General features: G+C 56.5%; 1 protein-coding gene across 32 annotated transcripts in view, besides 7 other annotated features; it reads left to right on the top strand.

Annotated features, from left to right (window-relative positions):
• Positions 1 to 16,456, top strand: part of SHANK2 (SH3 and multiple ankyrin repeat domains 2) — a 785,381-nt gene that overhangs the window by 698,621 nt on the left and 70,304 nt on the right. The gene's annotated exons all lie outside the window — the stretch shown is intronic.
• Positions 385 to 1,584: an enhancer, noted in NCBI's record as "BRD4-independent group 4 enhancer chr11:70399135-70400334 (GRCh37/hg19 assembly coordinates)". NCBI's record gives its function as "activates an origin of replication core promoter dependent on BRD2, P300/CBP, MED14 and CDK7 cofactors, and independent of BRD4, by STARR-seq in HCT116 cells {active_cell/tissue: HCT116}" and the evidence as "EXISTENCE:reporter gene assay evidence [ECO:0000049][PMID:35650434]".
• Positions 2,729 to 3,244: an enhancer, noted in NCBI's record as "H3K4me1 hESC enhancer chr11:70397475-70397990 (GRCh37/hg19 assembly coordinates)". NCBI's record gives its function as "activates a minimal SCP1, AML or CMV promoter by ChIP-STARR-seq in naive H9 embryonic stem cells {active_cell/tissue: H9 hESC(naive)}" and the evidence as "EXISTENCE:reporter gene assay evidence [ECO:0000049][PMID:30033119]".
• Positions 5,989 to 6,939: an enhancer, noted in NCBI's record as "H3K4me1 hESC enhancer chr11:70393780-70394730 (GRCh37/hg19 assembly coordinates)". NCBI's record gives its function as "activates a minimal SCP1, AML or CMV promoter by ChIP-STARR-seq in primed H9 embryonic stem cells {active_cell/tissue: H9 hESC(primed)}" and the evidence as "EXISTENCE:reporter gene assay evidence [ECO:0000049][PMID:30033119]".
• Positions 7,376 to 8,210: an enhancer, noted in NCBI's record as "H3K4me1 hESC enhancer chr11:70392509-70393343 (GRCh37/hg19 assembly coordinates)". NCBI's record gives its function as "activates a minimal SCP1, AML or CMV promoter by ChIP-STARR-seq in naive H9 embryonic stem cells {active_cell/tissue: H9 hESC(naive)}" and the evidence as "EXISTENCE:reporter gene assay evidence [ECO:0000049][PMID:30033119]".
• Positions 9,046 to 9,880: an enhancer, noted in NCBI's record as "H3K27ac-H3K4me1 hESC enhancer chr11:70390839-70391673 (GRCh37/hg19 assembly coordinates)". NCBI's record gives its function as "activates a minimal SCP1, AML or CMV promoter by ChIP-STARR-seq in naive H9 embryonic stem cells {active_cell/tissue: H9 hESC(naive)}" and the evidence as "EXISTENCE:reporter gene assay evidence [ECO:0000049][PMID:30033119]".
• Positions 14,861 to 15,478: an enhancer, noted in NCBI's record as "H3K4me1 hESC enhancer chr11:70385241-70385858 (GRCh37/hg19 assembly coordinates)". NCBI's record gives its function as "activates a minimal SCP1, AML or CMV promoter by ChIP-STARR-seq in primed H9 embryonic stem cells {active_cell/tissue: H9 hESC(primed)}" and the evidence as "EXISTENCE:reporter gene assay evidence [ECO:0000049][PMID:30033119]".
• Positions 15,479 to 16,098: an enhancer, noted in NCBI's record as "H3K4me1 hESC enhancer chr11:70384621-70385240 (GRCh37/hg19 assembly coordinates)". NCBI's record gives its function as "activates a minimal SCP1, AML or CMV promoter by ChIP-STARR-seq in primed H9 embryonic stem cells {active_cell/tissue: H9 hESC(primed)}" and the evidence as "EXISTENCE:reporter gene assay evidence [ECO:0000049][PMID:30033119]".

Genomic DNA, 16,456 nt, shown 5'->3' with positions numbered 1-16,456 from the left:
TTGCAACAAATAACAGCCGATTCATGCAAGGTGTTACTAACAGAGGAACCTGGGGGAGGGGGGAGGAGAGGGAATCTGGGAACTCTGAACTTTCTGTGCAGTGCAATTTTTCTGTAAATCCAAAAATGTTCCAAAATATAAAGTCTTTGTTAAAATAAGATCAGGTAGGTCCTTGCAAGCTTTGACTCATGGTGGAATCCAGGATTACAAGGGGAACCCATTATCCGAGAGGACAGAACAGGTGGAAAAGAGGCCGCTCTGGAACCCTCCCTGAAGCTGCACTGTGGGTGATCATCTGAGCACGCATTGACTTTTGAGGCCATCTGAGACTGGACCCCCTTGGGGGCTCATCAAAGCCAGGCTCTTAGGAGGGGAATGGAATGTTCTAGAAGTGGTTGGAGGGTCAAGGAGGTGCCTGTGATTTCTTATCAGGAGGGGAGGGTTGCAGATGTTGTGTTTTCTGGGGACAGGGGCTGGACTCGGGAGTTCCTCCCCTATCAGCACAGGCTGTTCCTACCATCTGCTCCCCACAAAGGAGAAGGCAAAGCAAGGTTGTCATCCCCAGCGGGGACTTCCTGCAGCCAGTCCGGTCAGCGACCCCAGGCCATTTCGAGTTCTCTTTCATGACTTTATTCAGATTGCTGCTGACTTCCTGTCCACCAGGCCTGTAGCCTCTTCTGCGGCACACGCAGGGACCCCTGAATCACCCATTGCAAGTGAGCTTATCCCAACCCCACCTGGATGAGGAGTGACTCCTGATGTGACTGGGCTCTTATTCACTGAGGGGGTGTTAACTAATATAGGGATGTATCACACATCCTGACTTCAACCCTATGTCACGCAGATCATCACTGGAAGCTCAAGTGGCAGGGCAGAAGCAAACCTCTGACATTGTCTTGTTCTGCTGCATGTTCCCCCAGAGAGGAGAAGCGTCTTGCTGATGATCGCATGGCCCTCGGTGAAAGAGCCCGGGTGCCAGGCTCCTGACCCTGAATTGACGTGCGTCCCACTGCACTCCTGCACCTCACGTGGCTGAGTGTTCCAGTGACTGAGCTGTCAGGACAGGAGCTGGGACCGGCAGTCAGGATGGCAGGGGGCTGCTGGGGATCGTCACAGCTGAGTTGTGTCCCTCAAAAATCCATGCATTAGCGTTCCAATCCCCAGTACTTCAGAATGTGACTGTATTTGAAGACAGGGTCTTTAAAGAGATGATTAAGATCAGGCCGGGCACGGTGGCTCACGCCTGTAATCCCAGCACTTTAGGAGGCCGAGGTGGGCGAAGCATTTGAGGTCAGGAGTTCAAGACCAGCCTGACCAACATGGTGAAACCCCTTCTCTACTAAAATTACAAAAAAAATTAGCCTGGCGTGGTGGTGGGCAGCTGTAGTCCCAGCTACTCAGGAGGCTGAGGCAGAATTGCTTGAACCTGGGAGACAGAGACTGCAGTGAGACGAGATCGCGCCACTGCACTCCAGCCTGGTGACAGAGCAAGACTCTGTCTCAAAAAAAAATAAAGGAGATTATTAAAGTCAAATGAGGCCATTAGAGGGGGCCTTAATCCGATATCACTGTGTCCTTAAGAGGGGATTTGGACACAGACATGCACAGAGGGATGACCACATGAGGACACGGGGGAAGGCGGCCATCCAAGGAGAGAGGCCTCAGGAGGAGCCAACGCTGAGATACGTTGCTCTCAGACCTCAGCCTCCAGCCTGTCTGTGGTTTAGGCTGCCCTGTCTGTGCTCTGTTAGGGCAGCCCAAGCTGACGACTAGAGGCTTCCGGAACTGGGTCCAGCTTAGAGGGCAGGTGGGCACCAGAGTCACCCTCCGTCCTGAGACACGTGTGTAAGGAAAACGTCCCGATGCAGCTGGACACGGTGACTCCCTTGCACCCCAGGCTGTGTCCGTCACTGGCCCCCTGCGCCACGGAGAACCCTCGAGCCACAGGTTTAATGACGCCCAGCGACGAGCCCCAGAGGCAGCCCATGGTGGCCCGCGGCTTGCCCAGGATCAGCCTCTGCCTGTGTCATCTTGGGTAGAAAGTGACGAATCGCTTCATAGACGAATGCCTGGAGATTAGAGCCTGGGAAATGAGACATCTGATCCCCTTGCAGAGTTAATCGCTTGCTGTTGGGATTAATTTTTCAGTTGTTGTCAAGTTGAAGCACTCGATAAATGACTCGCTGTGACATGGGACATACAGGAACTAAATTGAGCTATAAATCTCCCTGAGCTTGGTGCACGAGTGTTCCAGGGCCCTGCTGGGCACCAGGAGTCCCAACCTCCCGAGGCTTGGCCTGGGCTGGAGGCGCCCAGGCATTCTCTCAGCTTCTCTCCTCCCAGGAGAGGCCCACTCTGTCTGCTCGCCTGTGTGCGTTTGTTCGCAGGCAGCCTGGCTGTACCTGGGAAATGCCGGTTGCCCCTTCCAACTGTCACCTCACCTACTCATATTATTCTTCAAAGCCGAGGTCAAAGCCTCCTCCTCCATGCAGCCCTCCTGGGAATCACCCTGACCTCAGGCATTGTCACTGGTAAACGTGGTCTTGGGTACTGCCTGGAATTACTCATCGCATTTAAGTTTCATCCATGCTCTCCAATAAAATGTACAGACCCCAGGAGGGAGGAAGCTCACACCCCCACGGGCTCCCCCGTGCCTCGGGCTGGGAAGCTGGCAGCACAGGCTTGGCGCATAGAGAGTCTCGCTCCCCAGCCCTCCAGCCTCAAGGCCATACGGCAGGGTCCTAGCCCAGCACTCCTGACTGTGCCTGCTACAGAACCCAGAGTCCAGGCCTGCGGGAGTTTCACATCACTCCAGGCCAGGGACCAGGTGGACGAGCAGAGACACCACATCCCCAGGTGGGGCCCACAGCTGAGGCTAAGTGGGATATAGGGCTATGCTTCATGTTGATGGAGCATATTTATTTTAGTGTCTTAGTACAAAGACGTAACTAGCGCATCGTTGTAGAATTAAAGCTCTATTCATGCTCCTGCTTAGTGGAGGCTTGGGAATTTGAGTGAAAAAAACCACTGAGTCAGCCTGAGGAAGCAGCCATGCCTGGAATGCAGGCCATGGCAAGCATCACACCGGGGCTGCCGAGGCCGGGGGTAGATAACAGGCATGCGGTCGCCATCAGAGCCCAGATGCTGGGGCGAAAGTCAGGTGTGACATTCTGCATGTGGTAGGAATGTTTTGAGAATTCTGCCCACAAATTAAGAGGTAGAGCTCCACTCCCCGTCCACGCAGCTTAGGGTCAGACTGGCCGGGTGGAGATGGGGGAGGCGGTGGGAGGGAGGGGGAGGGGCAGCGGGCAGGGCACAGAGCAGAGGCTCCAGCCTCCGTCTCAAGGCCTCGGGAAAGAGCCTCAGACACATCTTTGAAGCTGAAAGAGCCACATCATAGGCAACACCAGGGGAAGTTTCTGTATGTGTTTTCTCCCTCAAAAAGAACATTTGCTGCAGCAGACACAGGCAGAGTGAGCACATGTGAAAATGCAGACCCTGGTGAAGCCCCCAGCAAAGTACAGGGATGAGGTCTCGGAGGGGGTGGGAGGGGGTCCGCTGGCACTCCAGCCCCTTGGCCCTCCCCGCTTGGCCCTCAGGGGCATCGCCTTCTCAGTGTCCCTGGACCTTCCTGGAGAGCGTTTACCACTGCAGCGTGGCTGTTTGGGTCCACACGTGTCTGCTCATGAGGCTAGACAAGTTCCTCTCCATAACCATCCATCCACACCTCGATGTTTCTCAGACCTGCTCCATGGAGGCCCTGAGGCTGGACTCACATTTCCACCACCTCTGGGCCCTCCTGGAGCTTGTCCTGCCCTGAGATTCACCCGCTGACTGCCTGGGAGAGCCCCGTGGCCCAGGACTGAAGGGAGGTTTGGGCGCTGAGCCTACAGGGTATACCCCCTTCACCACCGGGCCCCTCCCCAGGGTTCTCCTTCACGTGGGACCTTCGCTAACAACATCGCTCAGTTCTTAGCCCACCAACCCACGCGAATCCGGGACCAAATGCGAGCCGACCCCTTGGATGTGGTCTTTCCTCCTGAACGGAGGCCTCGCCAGCAGATCCAGCAGATGAGATTTTCACTGAGCAGCAGTAGCAGTGGGCTAGACTTTAGTCTTGAATAGAAAGACCCTGGTATAGTGAGAAGCAGGGTCCAGGGTGTAGAACGCAGCATTTGCCAAAAACCGAAGAGCATCCCCTGCCCCAGCCCACCTGGGGGTACGCATGCAGCAGGCTCCAGCAGGGGAGGGGTGGCGTCTGCTCCAAGACCAGCTGTGCTCCTGCCCACCCTCCAGGTAGGGAGGGTCTCCTCTGCCTAACTGACATGGGGAAAGGGCTGTAAGGAGGCTGAGGTCGTTCATGGCAGGGATGTGTCCCCTTCCAGAGGTGCTACCGGGAGTGGGTCTGCAGCAGAACACCTGGGCTGCTGGGTGGGCATAGAGGGGGTGGGTTGATGGTGCCTCCCTTTCCAGGGATACAGGAACCCCAGGCAGGAGTAGGAAGAGGGGAGCCTGGCGGGAGCTGGTAGGCCTGAGCTGCTCTTGGCTTCCTGGCTTCTGGGGTGGTGGCCAAGCCGGTGCGGTTTTTCTGGGGGACCGGGGAGGCTACAGGGCAGTGCCCTGCACATGGGGAGGCCTCGGCCAGCACTGGACAGAGCCCTGACAGAGCCCAGCAGGAGAGAGCCCACCAAGTCCCCCAGAGGCGGTGGCTGCGAGTGAACCGGAGCTTCGCTGTGTCTTTCGCAAGCCCCTTGCCTGGTGAAAAACCCAAACATGGAGGTATGGTGAGAATCACGCCTAAAATGCAGCTCTGTTTCCTCGAGCACCTGTGTCGGTGTTAACTGTCTGTGGAAAAGGTCTCACCTCCAAGAGGCATGAATTCCAACAGGGCTGAAGATTCCTTCGAGGTCCTAATACATTCGTCCCATCCCAGGGACAGAGCTCTGGGACCCTGGTGTCCCACTCAAGCTCCCCAGTCCCTGGCCGGGGACCTCGGGTCACTTCCCAGCTGAGCCCAGCTTCTGAGAGGGGAGCCACGGCCCCCGCCTGCCCCTGGCCACACTGCCTCGAGCACCAAAGGAGAGGACAGCGGAAGCAACCTCGCTTCGCAAATGTCATGAGGCCGTCCTAGTCGATGTCCCATCACCAAAGAGGAAGCAGGCAGCTCCATTTCCTAAATACAGAGGAGCACCTTTCTCGGCCATCGGGAGCTTATTTTTAAGGGCCCTTCACTAGGGGGACCAGTGTGACTGTGGGCTTGGGGTGAGAGAGGCAGAAGAAACTTGAAATGACCCGCACCTCATCCATGTCTGGAAGGGATGCCTTTGGCTCAGTCGGCGTGGAATCCTTTGTTCCGCTGCACAGGTCACTGGGGGCTGCGGTGCTTGCAGCCTGTGATAAGTACCTACGTAAGTCGGACCATGGTCTCAGGGCCTGTGTGGTCAGCATGAGCTTTCACGTCGAGCGCCCCCGTGTGCACAGCTGTGCCTGGGAATCCATTTCCTGGGGCTGCTGTCACAGCGTCCCACAGACCCTGTGGCTAGAACAACAGAGGCGTGGTCTCTGACAGTTTGGGGGCTAGCAGTCTGAAGTCGGGATGTCAGCAGGGCCATGCTTTCCCGGAAGGCCCTGGGGGAGGAGCCTTGCCTACTCCTCCAGCTTCTTCCTGCTCCCGGTGGCTGCTGGCAACCCCTAGCACCCCTTGGCTTGCAGCAGCAGCCCCCATCTCTGCATCAGTGTTCACCTGGCCTCCTTCCCACCATGCGTGTCCACATTGTCCTCTTGTTTGAGAACACCAATGACTGGATTAGGATGTACCCCAGTGACCTCATCTTAACTTGATTACATCTACAAAGACCCTGTTTACAAATAAGGTCACGCTCACAGGCTCCGGGGGTTAGGACATGGACATAGGTTTGGGGGTAACACTTTTCAACCCACAATAACCCGTGATCCCAACAGCCAGGGTTCAGCACTTGCGCAGGGCAGCCTCTCCCATAGACCACACCTGCCTCCTAGGGGAGAAAGTGACAGCCTCTGTTCTCATCCTTGGGGACTCTGGAAGGGGAAGGACAGAGAGTGGGCTCCATGTCCGGGCACAGGCGCCGGCCAGCCTCCCACTAAACTCTAGATGCTGCCCTGAGAACGGAGCCCAGCGGGAGACGGGCTGAGGTCAAGAGCAGGGAAGTGGCGGGTGGACGGGATGGGACTTGGGCTAGGCAGCCCTAGAAGCAGAGTCTCCCCACCTGGGATCAGGGCAGTCCCAGTAGGAAGGGAAATCCAGCCATCCATCGATTGTTAGAGATGGCTGTGTGTGCACGTCTGTGTCAGAGGCTCTTTTCAGAAAGATCAAAATCACAGGAGAAAACTGGAAGCATCTATTTCAGGCAGCGGGCCGCTGAGTGGGGAGAGCAGCCGCCTGCTCCAGGGGTGGCCAGTGTCTGGGCACAGCCCACCCGGATGCTGGCAACCCCTGCCGGCCATCCTTGGGAAGGAAGGCGGAGTGAGAGGGCAGTGGCTCCCACATCTGTCCAGTACAAGCCACATATGTCAGCGCCTCCTTTGCCCAGAAGGCTGCACCAGGCCAGGCCAGGATGCTGATGCCAGCCACACCCACAGCCTTCTAGGGCATTCTGTGTGGCTGGCAGGGAGACAGGATGTTTCCGGTTCTAGTTCAAACTCAGTGAGCTGATAACAAGCTTATCTTCACTCTGCTGCCATGAAGCTCAGCCTCGGGCTTGCAGGGGCTTGCCAAGAACATTGAAATTCTCTGTCTCGATTGTGTCTAAATGGTTATGGGGACCAAGGATTCCTTTAGCAGAGTTAATTTGCACTTGGAAGACAATTACGTAGAGTAAGAGCTCAGCCTTTCAAGTCAGCTATTCAAGCGGGGGTCCCAGAGAAGTTGCTTTTCTTTTCAAATCAGATCTGTACCTTCCTCAAGACTGAGGAATAGCTGTTTGATACTCAGACACGCTGTCCAGCTGGGATTACAGGCACCTGCTCTGTGCTGGGCTGTGGGGTGACTAGAGCTGAACAGAAGTTAAAGCGATAGGACAGGTGCGGTGGCTCATGCGTGTAATCCCTACATTTTGGGAGGGTGAGGTGGGTGGATCACCCAAGGTCAGGAGTTTGAAACCAGCCTGGCCAACTTGGTGAAACGGCATCTCTACTAAAAACACAAAAATTAGCCAGGTGTGGTGACAGGTGCCTGTAATCCCAGCTACTCAGAAGGCAGAGGCAGGAGAATCGCTTGAACCCAAGAGGTGGAGGTTGCAGTGAGCCGATATTGTACCACTGCACTCCAGCCTGGGCAACAGAGCGAGACTCTGTCTCAAAAAAAAGTTGTTAATAAATACAGTTTTTATCCAGGACTATTGCGGTAGGGGAGTAGCAGAATATTGAATAGGGAGGAGACTTAGTACGGGATAGGACTCAGTTCCTAATACTGCATGGGCTAGTGGGGATTTAGGGCCCAGGAGTGGGTGGGAGTGAGAGGGTGGAAAATTCCTGAGTGGAAGCATCAAGGGTGAGGGAGATTCTGGGTAAACTGACCTAATGGGATTCTTGCTGCAGGCAGGCTGGGGTGAGCAGACATCCCAGGTGGGGGTGGGAGGTGAGCGGCCTGATCAGGTATCCAGGGTCGGGAGTTCTTGCTAAAGTTGGATTTGATACGGAAGCGCACAGATGGACTCAGGAGAAGTCCAGGGAGTCTGGTGAAGCAAAGAATCTTAATCATAGCTTGGCAAGCACAGAGCTGGCCAAGGCAGGATGCCCCCCAGAAGGTTCTGCAGCTGGAGGAACCTCGAGGGCCTGACACGCTGGAGACACCCAGAGCCAGCAGGGAGGTGTATGCATTGTTCCCCCTTGTTCCCAGGGAGGGGACTGGGGCAGCCCAGCATCTGCCAAGGCCAGCAAGGCAGTGGACACCCTCCCACCAAGGCCCACCAGGGGTCTACACCAGCCCAGTCGGCAGGGGGAGGCTTCAATGGGACTGGGCTGTAGCATGAGGGTCAGGGAAGCTGGGAGGGTCTCGATCTTGAGGAAAGACTGACCAATGAGGCAAGGTGTCTGGACTCTCGACAACTTGACAACTTGGAATAATAAAAAAGCATGCATTGGGGTCTCTGTCCCTAGTTCCTGGCACAGAACTCTTAAAACCTCTTGAATTTCCTGTCTTTTATATGTTAATGAGATGATACTTAGGGGAGGCGGAGGCTAGATAGCTTCAGGATGGCAGGGGCTGGTCACCAGAAAAACCAACCACATGATTCTAGAGGTGCAGAAGGCTCAGGAAGAGGGGCTGGAGGTTGAGCTCAATTGCCATTGGCCAATGATTAATCAGCTGTACCTAAGTATTGAAACCTCCATTAAAACTCTGGGCGCAGTGGTTCACACCTGTGATTCCAGCACTTTGGGAGGCCGAGGCGGGCGGATTCCTTGAGATCAGGAGTTCAAGACCAGCCTAAGCAGCATAGTGTGACCCCCATCTCTACAAAAAAAAAAAAAAAAAAAAATTAAATAAATAAATTTATAAAAAACAACCAGGCTTGGGAGGTTCCAAGCTGGTGGTACCCAAGGGGGTGTGGAAGCTCTGCACCCCCCATTTGCCCCGAGCTTCTCTTCCCTGTGGGCTGTTCAGAGGTGCAGCCTCCATAATCAACTGGTTGCCATAAGTGATGCATGTTCCCGAGTATTGTGAATGGTTCTAGCAAATATCAGACCTGAGCAAGGGTTATGGGAGCTCTGACTCGTAGTCAGCCAGGCAGAAGTGTGGGTCATCTGGGGAGCCACTTCTTGGCAACTGGCCTCCGAGGCTGGGGCAGTCTTGTGGGACTGGGCCCTTCGCCCGCAGGGTCTGCACTGACTCTGGGAGGTACTGTCAGAATTGAACTGAGCAGTAGGACACCCAGCTGGCAGGGATTAGAGAATTGGTTGATGTTGGAATGATGTATTTGGTGTCAGAAAAAAATACAACACCAGCTGTTTAATGAGCAATTACCGTGTGCAGGCGCCGTACGGAGGGTGTGCGTGAATTATCCCGTCCCAGTGGCCTTAGGGAGACGGTGCTGTCACTGAGCTGCTCTCAGGGGAGAAAACCAAGACCCCGAGGTGAGGACCCTCAGCTCTGCAGTGGGCGCTGAGGTGGGCGCCATCCAGGAGAGAGCGTGCGGTGGCTCGGGGCCTCCCAGAGCTGCCCTGACTCCCCTGCTTGGCCAGCCCCTCCCTGGGAGCCCCACCCCAGGGCCAGCAAAGGCTGCAGTGAGTCAGGGGCCGTGAATGTCTCTGGAGCAGGAGCTGCAGACAGGCAGGAGCTGGGAGCTGGTCAGGAAGACGAGACTGGCACACAAAGGAGCTGATTAGCAATGCGACGCTGCCTCCGGCCAGCCGGATTAGGAGCTCAGACAGCGCGAGCCCAGGGACTGCAGGAGCCACTTCCATCCATTCTCAGACAAAAAGAGACGCCCACGGCAGGACTGGGGTGGTGATCGGGGAATCAGAGCGCAACCCCTCCCAGGCCCCAGTGGCCCTTGCCTGCCCTGGCCTGGGCTCTTGCCACCGGCCCATCCTCTTCCAAGAGGCCATCCTGTGCCCGTGCTTGGCATGTGAGAGAAGCTCCCGAGGTCCACCGCCACCCCAGCAGGAGACACAGCAGCTGGCCCATCCCCAGAGGCCGCAGCCCCACGTGGTCCCGCGACGGTGTCCTTGGTGCTCACGTGGGCTCAGAGGATGCAATCCCTGAAGGACCTGTGGGTGGGGACACCGGTGCCTTGCCCAGGACAGCCCCGGTGACATTTGCTCCTTTGTGGCATCAGAAGCCTGAGGGTGGGCTGAGGTCTCGCCTCTGTCGTCGCAGTGAGACTGCGGTTTCAGGTCACAGCAGCAGCAGGGGCCTCCCCTTTTGTCGCCTACCGGATGAAAGACCTGTGTCCCTGCAGAGGTGGCCACCCCGCTCCTGGTCCCAAGTCCATCTGCTGGTCCAGGCCAGGGAGGGGGTGTTGGGATGGGATGGTGTCTACTGTGACCTGAGGGCGGGGTGGCCCCTCCTGACCCTGCTGAGTGCCTCTCCCTGGGCAGGGATTTGGGCCCTGGTGAACCATACACACTGCACGGCCCACAGTGAGATCCGTCAGTCACTCTCCCACGGGCAGCTGCTCCGGGTCTCACAGGGACAGACAGGGGCAGTAGCCTTGCCCCCCTCCAAACCCCAGGCTAAACAATGACAATTGCTAACAGCTGGTCTGGAAGGTCCTACGCGTGGGGCTCCACCTTTGGGGGCTCATTTTATCTTCACAACAGCTATGTTCCCCGTAGCTGCTGGGACTGGCCCATTTTCCAGATGAGGACACTGAGGCACAGAGTGGGCAGGCCGGGGCTGGAGAGGTTCTGCGGCCCCAGGACTCTCTCCTGCATGTGGAGAGTGGAGATTTGAACTGGGCCTGTCATCCCCAGGGAGAGGCACAGGATGGGAGGTCAGGGTTGGGTTTTCCAAATAGGCTGTTTCCTGACTTCTGGAAAGTTGCCTTAAGAAATGGGAACGTGTCTGCTAACAGCCTCTCGTTGAGGCCAAATTTGGGGGGACTGTGAGGCTATAGGAAAAAGCAAACTCAGTTTCTTCCCACTATACTCTCTCAACGCAATCCACACAGAGCCCTCAGTGGCCAGATGAGTGGGGTTCCCACACACAGCAAGCAAGCAATCGGTTCCCTCGGACACCAGCAGGTGCCCCTAATTCAATTCAGTTCTGCACTGCTCACCTGGAGAGTGTGTTGATCCCATAGGGTGAGGCTCAGTCCCACAAGATGGGCCCCACGTCCTTTGCAGGTGCCAAGAACAAGCCCCAGGTTGTGACCTGTGCCTCTGACCGACCAGCTATGAATCAGGGTTCCCATGATGCCCTTCTCTGGTTCAATTAATTTGCTAGAGCAGCTCACAGAATGGAGGGAAATACGTTTGCCGGTTTCTTATAAAGGATATTACAAATGGAGTGATGTGTGGGGTGAGGTACAGGGGAAGGCGTGCAGCTTTGATGCCCTGCCCAGGCACGCCACCCCCAAGGAACCTCCACGTGTTCATCTATTCAGAAACTCCTCCAAACCCTGTCCTTTTGGGGGTTTTATGGAAGTTTCATTACACGGACATGATTGATTCAATCATTGGCCATTGGTGATCGACTCAACCTTCAGCCTCTCTCTCTCCTCCCTGGAGGCTGGAGGGCAGGGCGGAAAATTCCAACCCTCTAATCTTGGGATTGGTTCTTTTGGTAACCAGCCCCCATTCTGAAGCTATCTAGGGACCCCCAGCCACCAGTCATCTCACTAGCATACAAAGACACTCAGCACTCTGGAGGGTCCTGAGATTTTAGGAGCCATGTGTCAGTAGAGGAGAGGAAAACCAAATACCCATTTCACAACGCAGACTGTGTGTGGCTCCTCCGTGCCTTTCTCTAACAGAGCATCCTCTGATCTGAAAGGTGCCCGGCCATCAAACTGCAGTTCCAGTTCCATGAAAAGCACATGCAGTTACCCTGGGGAGCTCAGCCGCCACCCCACGCCAGGCCGGTTGAGGGCTCTGCCTCCTCACCCAGCGCATGCCGCCCCTGCCCTTCTACCCGCCTGCTTGCTCTGTTCAAGTTCTCATTTGTGGGATTGGTCAGCGGTCCCGGGGGGGCCCCCTTCCTGCTGAGATCTCCAGATGGGGGGACAGTCAGCCCTTGAGATACTAGAGAAATCCCCTGGGAACATTTCCTGCCTCTCTTCATGGCAGTGGGGAAACTGAGGCTATGGTGCCCGGGAGTTAGGAGGCCCATTGGAAACCCCGCCAGGGTACAGGCAGGAAGCTGCGTGATCAGGTTGTCTTGTGAAAATGCTTCTTTGGGAACCAGCTTCCAGGAGTAGCCACTCAGGCCCACATGACTTCTGAGTCGTTTGCCAACCTTCCTGGGCTGTTGGGTTTGTGCTCCAGGAAGGACCTGATGGTTAGAGTGGAGGTGTTGGAGAGAGTCCCAGAGCCCTGCCCAGTGAGGGTCAGGAGGCTATGGCCGTGTCCCATAAGCAGGGCTGAGCACAGCCCACATGCACCTCCAGGGGCTGTGCTGCAAACGACACACATGGATTTTCTCACAGTTCGGAGGCCAGAATTCCAAAATCAAGGTGTGGGCAAAGCCATGAGCCCCCTCTAGGCTCTAGGGGAGGGTCCTTCCTTGCCTCCTCCAGCTCTGGGGCTCCCGGTATTCCTTGGCTGCTAGCCACATGGTGCCAACCTGTGTCTCTGTCGTCACACAGCCTCATCCTCCTCTCTCTTCTCATCCCTCATAAGGGCACCCGTCACTGGATTCAGGGCCCACTTCAGTAACCGAGGATGATCTCATCTCGAAATCCTTAACTTAATTATATCTACAAAGAGGCTGTTTCCAAATAAGGTCACATTGGCAGGTGCCAGGGGTTAAAGGCATGGACATATCTTTCGAGGGCCACCGGTCAGCTCACTATGTAGTCTGTTTTTGTAACTTCTCTGCAATAACTCAACCATGCCATGCAGCAGCCACTCAGCATTTGCCCAGGCACTACTGGGCACTCAGTGGCCCGTGCACAGAGGAGTAGCGTGGATCCTGGGCAGTAAACCCCCTCTAGCCACTGTCACGGGGTGTGCAGAAGCTTCTGAGTGAGGAGCTCTCTGGTTTGCATGGGTCCTGCTCTGTGCCAGCTGCCACGAGAACTGCAGGCTGCCTTCCAAGATGGCTGCCCTCAGCCTTAGGGCAGGGTCAGCCCCGGCATTGGTGGCACCTGGGACTCAGCAATTCTCTGTTGTGGGGGACTGTCCTGTGCTTTGTAGGATGTATAGCAGCTTCCTTGGTCTCCACCCACAAGATGCCAGTAGCAACACAAGTTGTTGTCACAACCAAAAATATCTCCCAACATGGCTGAATGTGTTTTGTGGGGGGCACCGTTTCCCCCGCTTGAAAACCACTGCCTTAGGCCATAAACCGGGCTCTCAGAGCCAAGTTGGACACCAGGCTCCACGCCCCACATCTGTCAGTGCCTGCTGGCCTCACCCCTGCCTGCCCAGAGGTCTCTGGTGAGGCCCACAGTCACCTACACATCTAGTCATCACTCACCGTGTCCTAGCTGGCTCGTGCCTGCCAGCCCACCTGCTACCTGCAGAGGTGACTGGCCAGGAGGGCACGCCAGGAAGCTGCCCAGCCAGCACAGCCAGCTGTCCATTTTCTTGATGAAGCCAAGGATGGTTGGTGGGGGGCCGGTGGCTATTCCTACTGTTCCCGCCAGGCTGATGAGTAGGGAAGGCTTAGAGGTGCAGCCAGGCTGACGGAAGGACAGGTGTTCTCAGGTGAAAGGGCCAGCTTAAGTGTCCATCACCGGTGCAGGAGGAAGGCAAATGTGGTGTATCCCGATCAGGGAGCATCGTTCCATCTTAGGCAGGAGGGAAAACCGACACTGGCTACAAAGGCCTCCTATGGAGGACCCTTGAGGATATTATGCCAAGTGAAATAAGCCAGTCACGGGAGACAAGCTCAGCACTGAACCATCCCAGTCATACGAAGCTTCTAGAGTAGCGAAGTCCATGGAGACAGAAAGTTGGAGGGTGAGTGCCAGGGGCTGGGGAAGGAGATGGGGAGTTAGTGGTTCACAGGGACAGGCTCAGTTTGGGAAGATGAGAATGTTCTGGACATTGTGTGTTCAGTGACACTGAATTCTGCGCTAACAGGTTAGCGTGCTGAGTTTTATATCTGAGTTTTTTTTTTTTTTTTTTTGAGTCTTACTCTTTCGCCCAGGCTGGAGTGCAGTGGCGTGATTTCAGCTCACTGCAACCTCTGCCTCAGCCTCCCGAGTGGCTGGGCGTTGCAGGCGCCCGCCACCACACCCGGCTAATTTTTGTATTTTTAGTAGAGATGGGGCTTCACCATGTTGGGCAGGTTGGAAGTTTTATGTTATATGGATTTTACCGCAGTACAGTTAAAAATTAAAACTATAAAGATGCAGCCCTGGGTGGGGCTGACGGGGTGGGTTTCAAGGCCTCCATGGAGTCAGCTCACCCCCCGTCGCTAATCGTGAAGCTGCGGCCATGGGTATCGTGTGTGTGTCAGGCTGGACATGAGACTCCCAGGCTCCCGCGGGCAGGGAGGAGGTGGTAGGATGAGAATGGTCCTCATCACTCCGACTCCGCAGGAGAGAGGAGCCCCAGCCTGCCTTCATCACCTCGACTCCACAGGAGGGAGGGGCCCCAGCCTGCCTGGGTTTCTCAGACGCCGTCCCCTTGACCTGCCCGTGGGCGCCCCGCTTGCTGGTTCTGTTCTCCTTCTTGCAGAGATGGGTGAGCCCTGGCCCCTGCTCTTGGGGACACTGGCCTGGGGGAGGCATGTGAGATGAGACAAGCATGCCCATAACTCACGGCTGTGGAATGAATCGTGTTCCCCTGGATTCTTACGTTGAAGCCCTAACCCCCATTACCTCAGAGTGAGGTCTTGCTTGGAAATTGGGACATTGCGATGTGACTGGTTAAGATGGGGTCACAAGGGTAGGGCAGCCCCTGATCTACTGGCCCACTTCCTTGTAAGAAGAGGGAGGTTTGGGCGCAGACAGGCACACAGTGGGAAGGCCAGGCGAAGATGGAGGCAGAGGGGGGTGATGCTCCTCCAAGCCAGGGACACCAAGGCTTGCCAGCCACCACCAGGGGCACAAAAATGCTTGGAACAGAAACTGCCTCGCAGTCCCCAGAGGAACCCACCCTGCCCACACCTTGATCTTGGACTTCACCTCCAGGACTGTAGGAACATGAACGTCTGTGGTTAAAGCACCCAGGCCCTCTGCTACGGCCCCCCCGGGAGAGAAGCGCACTCCCTGGAAACCCCAGCCTGCTGGGTCATGGCTCATCCCAGCTGAACGAGGAGAGGGTGGACATGGGTCAGCGCCCAGATTACATCCTGGTCCCCACAGCAGAGTCTGGGCAGGGAGAAGCTGGGTAGATAAGAGCGCCGGAGTTGCCGCCAGCCTGTGGTGCTGTCTGTGATTGCTCATCCACTCATGAGTGAGCGTGGTGAGTATGGTGAGTGAGCGTGGCGAGTGAGCGTGGTGAGCGTGGCGAGTGAGCGTGGTGAGCGTGGCGAGTGAGCTTTCTGTGTGCCCTAAACCCCCCAGACCGCGGTGTCACAGCACCTTTCCCCCGCAGATCTGTTGGGCACCCCGACTCGGAGTCTGGCCCCCATTTGGGATGGAATGTTCTAAAATGTTCTTCATTTACTCTACTTTCTTTAAATGGAGAACATCATTTAATGTCTCCAGTCCATCCAAGGCTGTCCTGCCAGCTGCGTTTGGGCACCAGGTCATGCCAGGCCCGCGTGTGGCACAGCCTGCTCTCTGTGGCACTGGCATTCGGTGCTGTTGCATCCTGGGGTCGGCCGTGCACGCTCTGCCATCCGGCCTCTCCCTCTGTGTGCATGGGCCTGCCTCTGCAGCCCTTCTTCCTTGTCTGATTTCCTGATCCTGATCCTCTGTGTGCCGCAGATCCAGTTAGCCACCCTGTTAGAACTCTGCATAAGGTAAAAGTAAACCCGTACATCGGCCCCGAGCGAGAGGCAGAGTAGTTCTGCAAGCCTAGTGCCTGGGTGCCAGGCTTGTGGCGGCCGACGGGGTAACCCAGGAGGCTTCCTAGCCCACGTCCTCTTCTAGGCTGCATCTCAGTAGCCAAGGCTAATGGAGGGGTGGTTGATGGTGAGGCTGGGGGTGCCCCTGAGACAGCACTCAGGGCTGCCCCCAACACTCAGCCCTCCCCACCGTCTGTGCGTGCCTCCCGCCCCACCCAGTGCTTTCTCTGTGTGGAATGGGGCTGTTCCCTGGAGGCTCTGCCCCGGGGGCTGTTCTGCCCCCTGGCTGGTGGATCTTATCTCCCCCTGGAGCAGGCAGAGCCCCAGGGAACCAGCACAGACTCCACCACTGACGGAGCAAGAGTGACAGCCACCTCCTCCTCCATGCATTTCCTGCAGCAGACAGGTTAGCCCCACGTTATCCTGCTCCTTCCTCCTGACCAGAGCTTTACTCTGACCAAGGGCCAGGACACTGCATGGGACAGTGGGAGCCACCTCCTTAGCACTGGCTCAGGGGAGGACGCATCCCCAGAATACCATATGAGCCATGTGCCACCTGTGATTTTGCCCCATCCAGAGCCTGGCACAGAGGCCTAGCGTGCAGTCCACAAGAGGCCTGGCAAGCAGTGTCCACTCCACTGTGCATCCTTGGCCAAGCCCCTCGGGACAAAGGCGGTGGCCTCAGATCCCCTGGTCCCTCCGGGTCACTGTCGGCTAATTCTGGGGGAAGGACTGGCAAGGCTGTTTGGAAGAGGTCAGCGCCCGGGGACTCCGTGTGGGCTGCTGGCTATGTCCACAGGCAGGGCTGCAGGAGCCCCCGGGTGGGGTGACTCAGCTTTCTGGCCTTACCCAGGC

The sequence above is a fragment of the Homo sapiens genome, chromosome 11 (assembly GCF_000001405.40).
Source record: "Homo sapiens chromosome 11, GRCh38.p14 Primary Assembly".
In the NCBI taxonomy this organism is placed as follows: Eukaryota; Metazoa; Chordata; class Mammalia; order Primates; family Hominidae; genus Homo; species Homo sapiens.
Note: the sequence above shows the minus strand (reverse complement) of the source record. Positions and strands in the feature narration are given on the sequence as shown.